At 54.1% G+C, this 9777-nt stretch overlaps 1 protein-coding gene across 2 annotated transcripts in view, besides 1 other annotated feature; it reads right to left on the bottom strand.

The window, feature by feature from the left end:
• SLC12A5 (solute carrier family 12 member 5) overlaps positions 1–9777 on the bottom strand; it is a 38465-nt gene continuing 28688 nt past the window's right edge. For both annotated transcript variants that reach the window (NM_001134771.2, NM_020708.5), the window contains exons 18-26: positions 8281–8476; positions 7025–7194; positions 6442–6573; positions 5128–5235; positions 3879–4001; positions 3587–3786; positions 3240–3254; positions 2848–2981; positions 1–2637 (exon numbers count right to left, since the gene is read on the bottom strand). In NM_001134771.2, coding sequence (NP_001128243.1) covers positions 2546–2637; positions 2848–2981; positions 3240–3254; positions 3587–3786; positions 3879–4001; positions 5128–5235; positions 6442–6573; positions 7025–7194; positions 8281–8476 — 1170 coding nt within the window. In that variant the 3' untranslated portion in view covers positions 1–2545. The remainder of the gene's footprint in view (positions 2638–2847; positions 2982–3239; positions 3255–3586; positions 3787–3878; positions 4002–5127; positions 5236–6441; positions 6574–7024; positions 7195–8280; positions 8477–9777) is intronic.
• Positions 2527–2821: a silencer, noted in NCBI's record as "tiled region #3425; HepG2 Repressive DNase matched - State 10:DNaseD, and K562 Repressive non-DNase unmatched - State 10:DNaseD". NCBI's record gives its function as "represses a minimal TATA promoter and a strong SV40 promoter by Sharpr-MPRA in HepG2 and K562 cells {active_cell/tissue: HepG2 | K562}" and the evidence as "EXISTENCE:reporter gene assay evidence [ECO:0000049][PMID:27701403]".

Raw genomic sequence — 9777 nt, 5'->3', positions numbered from 1 at the left:
AAGGGTATAATAAAATTATTTTTATTGCATTTTGTGCAGACGGGAGTCTAAAAAAGTAACACAGTAAAAGCCATAAAGCATTAAATGGGAGCATTCAACAATAAAGGAAAGAACCAACCCTCTCCTTTTCATATTGGCACAAAGAACACAAGATCAATACTGAGGCAGGATGCGGCATACTGAACACTTACACTGAAAATTAAAGGCAGGCCTAATAATAATAGCAGTAATAGTAATAAATACTCTTGATTTGGTTTGCAACCTCTCCTATTTACAAGGGTTTTCAACTTCATTGCATTGCCCTGCACATAGATCATCTAAAACAAAAGCAACACTAGTTATCACTACAAGGCTATTGAAATATTGCACTCAGAATAAAAGTCACTTGAATGGACATGAAACATCTAACTACAGTGATTATAAAGATAACTTGATGAATGACTTGTGATAACATTCATAACAAATATTGCACATGTAGCACAGAAAACTTGGGTTTTTGTTGTGGGATGTCTGTTTCATCAACGGAAACTTTGCTCTTGCCAACCAGACAATCTGGGCCCAGATAGTGCAACTTTGGTTCCCTAATTGATGTTGATACAGCCCCCTTCTGCACAGCCCATCACATCAGCTCTGGAATATTCAGGCCCCCAGAAGGCAGGACCTGGCTGTGGTGTTCAGAGGGAGGTCTACTGAAGGATGCAGGGGGCTGGTGTCTAACACCTCCAGCTTCCTGATTGAGTACCTGAAAGAATCTATCCAGTCCCCTGATCGAATCTCAGAGGGGACTTGGTGTAACTGGCAGACCTCCAAACCTACCCCAGCCACACCTGACGCTGTCTGGGTGGCGCCAGCTCCAGCTCTGCCTTGGGCTCAAAGGAAAAGAGGTGGTGAGGTCCGGATTACTCAGTGGCGCCAGCTCTGGGAGGTGCGTGAGATGTCAAGCTAGGTGCGCAGGTCAGGGCCCTGGGGCTGGAGGTACTGTACCCAGTCCCAGATGGTGCTGGAACGAGCATGCAGTGCCTGACCCCCTTAGTAATGTGCCCTAGGGGAAGGGAACCCGGCCACCGCGCCTTCTCTAAGGACAGAGCACGCCTCAGACCAGGCTGGTGGAGCGGAAGGGCCAAGGATGAGCTGGGGAAGCCAAAGGCCCTGGGTCCTAGTTAGAGGAGAGCAGACAGGCGCTAAGGACAAAGCGCGTGCGACTCCAGCCCTCCCTCAGGCCCAGGTCCCCGGGAGACGGAGCTAGAGGCCGCTGCTAAGCAGCGAGGCCCGGCCCCAGAGCACGGAGAAGGCGGCTGGGTCCCTCAGGCGAGACAGGAGCTGCCAGATGGGGACGGGGGAGGAACATCACGGGCGGCTCTGGGGCCTCTCAGTGGGTCCGGCCCCTAAACCAGAATCGGCCCCCTCCTCCCTCACTTGTCCCAGGGAGGAAACTCCGGGGAGGGGGCGCCCTCCAGCTCCACAATTTCAGTCTTTGGCGAGGAGCCATGGGATACGGGGAGCAGGCGACAAGCCGACTGAGGAGAGACGCCTGCTCCCCAGCGAAGGCACCGGGGCGGGGCTTCCTCGGTGGGGCGCGGGCCTCTCGGTTTCTTCCTCTTGAGGAGCACCCCTCCCCTATCCTGGCCCCAACTTGCATAAGAGCCGATGAGAAGAGGTTGCTCGCGTCTCTGCAGCCGCAGTGGAAGCTCACGTCCGCTGGGAGGCGAATCCAGGAAAAGTTGGACCCTTGTCTCACCTCATCTCGGAAAAGGACTGGAGAGGAGGGTGGGAAGCCAAGGGCGCGCGGAAAGGGCGAAGAGGCGAGAGCAGGACGGAGGTGTCGAGGGAACGAGGCCACGACCCCCGCCTGGGCCTAAAGCACTTTCGCTCTCAAACTCTTGGACGTCAAGGAAAATTCAGCTTCCCGAGGCCTCGCCTCCCCGCAGTGCCCCCAGCGGGAGAGCTCGACTATGGCGAGAAGTCTGTTGCGCTTCTAGTCACATAAATATGGGGACGTTAAAAATACACGCGATGTCTCCTGTACACTATGTATAGGCTCGGCCGCCCGCGCCCCACGGCTCGGCGAGAAGGGGCGGCGGAGACGGCAAGCGCGGCCTTCCCACCCCGCGGGCCTCCGGGCCGCCGGGAGCCAGGGAGCAGCGCCGGAGGAGCGCAGAGCGAGGACCGCGGCGGGAGTGGGAAGGGGAGGAATGGGCCGCATGGACTACCTGGGGGTCCCCAAGGCCCCAGCTCCTCTCCTTTCCGCGCCTTCTCCCAACCTTTATTGCAGCGTCTCCTCCGGCGAGACGAGGCCGGGCTTAGAAAAAGGGCAGCGAAGACCCAGGGGCCAAACTGGCACTGAGGAGCTCTGGTCTCTGCGCGGCGGGGCGCCCTCTCCGAATCAGCCCCAACAGGCGTGGCCTCCGGGCTTCAGGCAGCGGGGTAAGGGGCCAGGACACGGGCACAGGGTCTGTATGTAAACGGTGACAGCGGCGGGGGGCGCGGCGAGGGCTCCGGAGCCGCGGGCCGGGCGCGCTCGGGCCCGGGTGGCAGGTCCTGGTTCTCAGGAGTAGATGGTGATGACCTCGCGGCCGCCGCCGCGGACCAGCATCACCCGGTCCAGGTGCTCTGTGAGGACCTCGAGAAACTCCATGTCTGAGAGCCGGTCAAGGAGAAAGACCCGGTCTCCTTCCCTCCCGACGAAATTGGGGTCGCGCTCGGCTGCCAGGGGACCTCTCGCGCCCGTGTCCCTGTCCGAGGTGCTGATCCGGAGGCAGGAACAGCTCAGCTCTTCCATCCCAGGGACAGGACCCAGATTCCCTGACGTCCACCTCCCTCTTTCCCCCAATTTTAATTCCAGGATACAGTTTTCATCACCATTGCGGTTGCGGGGAGGCCCAGGCATGTTGAGCAAAACAAGCTTGGCGTCCCGGGATTTCTTCACGATGACCTCGTTCAGCCGCACGGCCGTGTGCATGCGCCGCACGTTGGACTGGTTCCTGCGGCAGGAAGGAGGAGTGGAGACCGCGTGAGCCGGGGGGGTAGAGAAGATTGGAGCCAGTCGCCCTTCCAGCCCGAACTGGGCTGCTGGGGACTGGTTCTTGCAAGCCTAGGACCACCAATCCTAAACATCTCCAGGCTAGGCTATTCAGAGATCCCAGAGGTCGTGGCACCAATTAGGGGTTCACAACAGAGTGAGGAGGGTAGGGACCCTGGCCATCCTAGGAGAGAGAATGAAAAAATGCTGAAGCACTTACAAGTTCTCCCACTCCCTTCAGGAAACACAAGAGATGCAAAGAGAGAAAGAAAAAGAGCAGAGTCAGAAAAAGAGGAAGACACTGGGGGCTTGGGCCATGGTCATCTGCCCTGAGTCCTGCTCTGCCAGCCCCCACACCCTTCACCTTTCCGCTGCCTGCAACTGGGAATTCTGAGACTTAGCAATGGGGCCCAACCCCCTAAGTCCTCAGATGGAGAAACCAAGACAATGTCTGAGCTGGGTCTGCAGGCTGACAGACCAGGATGCCTTCTGCTCTCTTGCTCTGCCATGGGGAGCAAGACCCTTTAGCTCACCCCAGCCCCCAGCCCTTAGCCCCCAGGCCCGTACGGCTTCATGCTGAAGAAGTCCTTGATGCCCTCAGAGGAGACAGGACTGGGGCCCTTATTCTTCTCTGCCACCGACTTGTCCTTGGTCCAGGTGAGATGCACCTTCTCCGGATCTGTCTCCCCTTCCCCCTCAGGCTCCTCCCCTGGGGACGGGGAGCTGCTGGGGCAGCTGGGAGCACTCTGATCGTGGATCAGCTGCACCTGAGGGATGAATGAAGCGATGGCAGTTGAGTCCTTTGGAGGCCAAGGGCTCTGCTCCCACTGGTTGGGGCCAAACCACCCAAGCTGCACACCTCCTCCTCTGGCTTCTCTTCACTGTCACCAGCCGTCTCTTCTGGGACGTTCAGGCGGAGCCGCGTGTTGGCTGGATTCTTTCTCCGGATTGAGCCTCGTGACTCATCTGTGATACTCTGGATCTAGGGAGTGACATAGGTTGGTGCCAGCTCTGCTGGGAGTCACCACCCATGCCCTGCAAAGAGCTATCACCAGAGATGATGTTCAGCCAGGATGCACTTTCTGGAACTGTACCAGTTGTTAAAATATTGCTATGATTTGAGACCAAATAGCTACTGCACCACTGATCTGCCTGCCCCACCTCCTCTCCAGAACCCCAGACCTCATCTGGCAACAAAAGGGTTAACCTTGGCACAGCAAGGCTCTGCCTAGCACTATGGTCCAATGTCAGTCCTCAGTCCACTGGTCAGTGACCATGCCATGTTTTACCATTTTTACTACCTCCCTTGGATAACACTCCCAGCCTTGGAGGATCCATCCTTCCCATCTCAAAGTGGTACCCATCACTCATCCCCCTGAGAATCCATCAACCACATTCTGATAAATACATTACCCACCCCTGGGAGACTCAAAACCCATGGTTCTATTACCCTCATGTGTAGGATTGCCACCCATTCCCTGGGCAACTTATCACCCACCTCCAGGAGCCCTTCTGTCCCCAGCTGGGGTAACACCACTCATTTTCCCAAGGACTCCACTCCCTTGGGTGGGTCTTTCATCCATACTCTGGTGGTTCTACATCACCCACACCTAGAAGATCTTACACCCACACCCTATGGGGGGGCTTATCACCATTACCCCTGAGATCCCATCAATCACACCCTAGGGGATTTTCCCCTAACTCCCACACATCAGTTATATCTCTAAACACCCATCTGTTACCCACTCTCTAAGGGTTTCTACATGAGCCCTTATCCCTCACACTGGCAGCCCACACCCCTAAGGACTCATCATCCATACGTATTTAGCATCCACTCTTCTCTCTCAGGCTCCAGAAGTCACATACAGAGGAGAAGATCTGTCACCCATACCAAAGTCCCTCTGCCTCCTGGCTGGGAGGTTGGCAGTGAAGCTGCAGTGTATACTCCTGCTGTCTGGGAGATCAGTTTCAGGAGGTGTGGTTGGGGGAATCAGGGAGATGAGGGTGAAGTTGAAATGCCAGGAGTGTCAGCCCTGAGGCATCCTAAACCTGCCACCCAGAACTGGCAGCAGTTTGAGGCTCTCAGGGGCCAGCCAGGGCAACCTCACCTCCCGCTCCCGCTCATTCTTGGTTAAATGCATCTGTTTGAGGATCTGGGAACGCTGCTCCATCACCAACGTCTTCTCATAGGTGTAAGCTGAGATGTCGCTCTCATGCTGTGGGCAGACAGAGGTTGGGGTTGGGGGGTGGGGAGAGGAACACGGAGGAAAGCATGAGGTCTGAGCCCAGGTGAAAGGCCAAGGGAAGGAAGGAAGGCCCCCGTCCTTCTGGCAGCCTAGGGCTTCCCTACCCAATCATTAATTTTGTCAAGGGTTGTAGGAGGCAAGGACGTAGCAGAGAGGGCAATGCTCTTGCAAGGCAGGCAGCTCATTCCCTCCTCAGCCCAGCACAGGACCAGGCATATGAATGGATGAACTAATGAATGAGTGGATTAATTAATCACCTGGGTGAATGGAGAAGGGAAAGAAGAAAAAGAACAAAGCGATGAATGAATACATGCAAGAATGAATGGGAGAGTGAGTGAATGAATACTTCAATGAATACATGGGTAGATTAATGAAAACACAGAGGGATGGGTGGATGGACACATGAATTGAGAGGATGGTTGGACAAGATGCTCTACAGGATAATCACCAGGGGCACACGCTCTAGAGCCAGCCTGCCTGGGTTTGAATCCTGCCTCCACCAGGTACTCTGTGTTATTGGGCAAATTACAGTCATATGCCAAATAACACCATTGTATGTGCGTCAATGGCAGACTGCACATAAAATGGTGTTCCCTTAAGATTACTGTATTTTTGCTGTATTTTTTCTATGTTTAGATATGTTTAGACACACAAATACTTCCCACTGTGTTGCCATTGCCTACAGTACTCAGTAGAGTAACATGCTGTATAAGTCTGTAGCATAAGAGCAATAAGCCTTTGTGTGTAGTAGGCTGTACCAGCTAGGTGTGCATAAATACACTCTATGATGTTCACACAACAAAATCACCTCACAACACATTTCTCAGAACATATCCCTGTTGTTAAGCAATGAATACGTGACTGTACTTCTCTGCACTTCATATTCCTAATCTGTAACATGGAAATGCTGATAATTGTATCTATCTCATTGGTCGTTGTTGGAATTTATGTACATATAAAGTGCATAGAACAGTGCCTGGCATATAATAAGCACTAGACATGGCTACTTTTATAGAGAAGGGAGGGATGGCTGAATATGTGAGAGGCTAAGAGATGGATGAGGGGGAAAGGATCCAGCATCATAAGCTGATGGGTGTTAGAGTTGCCCTACTTGGTGCTGGGGCCAAGAGGAAAGAGGGCCAGGTGGAACCCCAGCGGTGTCTCCTGGGGACTCACCATCTCCACCACCTCGACCTCCGCAGTGATGCGTAAATGATACAGAAATGTGGTCAGATCCTTCTTCATCTGGATGCTATTGTCATCCATCTGGGCCACAGTGAAGATACGCATCTTGCACTTCCGCCAGACCTGCAGGCGATGAAGGGGATTCAGAAAGGTCCAGCCCAGATGTGATGAGGAGATCCAGGGCCAGGCCCTGTCCGCTCACCCTTCCCCTCTTCCCACCCACTCCTCACACATACATGCAGACCCCAAATCCTCTGTCTTTGGGGCCACTCTCTACAAAACCTTCCCTGCTTAGGTCTGAGGGTCCCCCATTAAAGAAAGCATCACTGGCTTGGGCTAAGCATTGCTCTCCTTACAGCAGTGCACCTGCAAGAGGAGAAACCATCAGTTCCTAACATCTCAGAATGAAGTAGGTCAGCAGATCCCTTTCCCAGGAGTTTACAGGGGAGGAAGGACACGGAAGCTGACCCTGGCCAGAGCCCCTGAGTCTGACCTGCAGTTGTGCACATATGCACACAAATGCATACATGCATACACACACTCACACGTGCATACACTCACGCACACAACTCACCTTGTGGTGCCGCAGCAGGAAGGGCAGCAGCATGAGCATGCCTCCATCGTGCACAATCCACCAAACGTCGATGCTGCCCTCAGAGAAGCGCTCAGGGTTCCCAGGAAACATGGAAACGTTCTTGGTGACCAGCAGGGCTAAGTGGCCAGCTGTGGTTTCCCGGACCAGCTCTGAGGGAGGCCAAGGAGAGGGCCAGAGGGGGAAACAGTGACTCTGGTTCTCCCAACACCCAGCAGCAGCCACAAGGGCTCCTGGCAGCCAGCACTCCACCCCACTCCAACTGGCCTTGGCCATGGGCTGAGTGGTCAGAAAACCAGCATCTACTTGGGCCCCATCATATATTTATTGTTTAGATCTAGGAACGTCTATCAACCTCTCTAGGCCTCAGTTTCCCCACCTGTCAAATGGCAATAACACCACCTGCCCTTTCTGATTACTAAGAGCCCATCATGTATGACCACACTGAATCCTCCCAACACCTTGTAACCATGATCTACCTATAAAGGAGACAGAATAGCTTGGAGCTAACAGTGTAGCCTCCGGGCTGGTTCAAAACCTGGCTCCCCACTTTGTGACTTGGAGCAAACTTCTTTTTCATTTACTCTGTAGTTTGCCAGGTTGCCCAGCTCAAACTCCTGAGCGCAAGCGATCCACCTGCCTTGGCTTCCCAAAGTGCTGGGATTACAGGCGTGAGCCACCGAACCCAGCTGGAGCAAACTTCTTAATCTCTCTGTGCCTCAGTTTCACATCAAAAAAGATGGAGATAACAATGCGTAGCCCTCCTAGGACTGATGAGAGAATCAGAGAAAGCCTTAACTTGCTGGCACACAGAACTCATTCTAGAAACGTTAGTTATTATATATACTATTACCTACGATTACCAAGAAATCTGATCTCAGAGGGAGTGAGTCACGTGTGCACAGTCACACAGCTAGGAAGGACCAGAGCTGAGATGTGGGCCTAGCCTCTGTGACTTCAGAGCTGTAGCTCTTCCCACTGCCCTGCACTGTGTTCCTCCCAGGGCCTGTGAGCGCTGCAGGAGCCAAGACTGTCTCGTTCACAGCGGAGTCCCCAGCGCCCAGCACAGTGGCTGGCACGTGGCCAGCCTTGACTGCTGTCACCTGCATATGCTGAATCCACACTTGGCACGCAGTGCTTGGGAAACCCCTCAGGCCCAAAGGAGCGGAAATCCAGTTCCACCCCTCTACAGCCCCCAGCCCCACCCCTCTTCTGTCCCCAGCCCCCAATAGCGTTACCAATGAAGTTCCTCCACGTCTGATGATCTTCCTTCTGGCGCCAGTTGCGGGGCCAGCCAACAAGCACAGTGTTGTGCTGCAGCCCCCCGAGGCCCCCGGACTGGATCAGATGGGACACGCCATCACGCAAGTTGGAGGAGATCACCACCTGGCAGAAGCCCTTCACCTTCTCTGCCTCCATCAGGCGCCTGATAGACTAGGGGAGGGGGAAAAGACAAGGACCAGCCTCAGGCCTCCCTGGCCCTGGCTGGGCCCATTGTAGCCTCCTTCCCTCCCATCTCTCCCCTCCTTTCATCCCAATCTTCCTGAAGCTCAGCTCTGATCACGTCAGTCTCTGGCTCCAGAATGGCACATGGCTCCCCATCATCTCTGTGCCCCATTCCTTCTTGATCAATCAAGGCTCTTCATGATCTGACCACACTTTCTGCCACCCTCCCACTGCTCATACAGCCCCCCTGCCCGACATGCTCTCCACCATCACCCTGACACAAGCCCCTGCCAAGTTGTACATGACACCCTGTCTGGCCCAGCTCAAATGTCGCCGTCTTCAGATACCACCCCCACCCAGACCAGAATTAAACTGGGCTTCTCTGCACAGCCAGACAATTTGTTTCAACAATCTTTCTAAGTAGCATAATAAGTATTTTAAGGGCTCCCATTTAAACTGTACTATGAGGGAAATAGTCTTATTACTCCCATTTTATAGATGGGGAAACTGAGGCTTGGAGAAAGGAAGACTTGTTTAAGGACACACAGCTAATGTTACTGTGAGGATTCAAGTCAGGGAAGTCTGACTCCAACCCCCACACTCTTAACCACCACCCCTAAGTCAAACAGATAGAAGTTCAACTCCTATCTCTGCCACCTCCTGGCTGTGTGACCTTGGGTGAGTCACCTAACCACCCAAGGGGTCAGGACAAGCTACCTTGTTTAGGAATAGGGAGAACCACATGTCATCATGCACATAGGGCTTAGTTAGTATCCTGCCTGAGGAATTGAAAACACTCAACACATTGTACGACCCTGATGTTATTAACTCTAACAGCATTTATCGACATCCGGTGGGTCTGAGAGCCTTCTGTGTATGCTCTGCCTTCCCCACCAGCCTGTGAGCACCTCGAGGGCTGGGACTTGGTCTTGAACATCTCCATCTCCCCTGTGCCTCGCCCAGTGCCTGGTGCACTGCACATTCTCAGCCACCGCGTGTTGAATGGAACTGACCAGTCAAGGCCTCCAGCTCTGGGCCCTGACAGATCAGTGTGAACAGCCCAGTGAGGCAGAAGCAGCGACTGTCGCAAGCCATCGGGGTGCCCCTCCCCATCTCACCTCTGCTCCTTCGGGCCTCTTTTTCTCTCTCCACTGCTAGCCACAGCCCTGATGGGAGAAAGGCCTGACCCTCAGACAGAACCTACTTCCTCTACTACCCTTGGGATCCAATCACCTCTTTGTGTGCTTAAGGCAGACACTGGCCACCACAGCCCACATTGGTTCTGTAGG

This window comes from Homo sapiens, chromosome 20 (assembly GCF_000001405.40).
Source record: "Homo sapiens chromosome 20, GRCh38.p14 Primary Assembly".
In the NCBI taxonomy this organism is placed as follows: Eukaryota; Metazoa; Chordata; class Mammalia; order Primates; family Hominidae; genus Homo; species Homo sapiens.
Note: the sequence above shows the minus strand (reverse complement) of the source record. Positions and strands in the feature narration are given on the sequence as shown.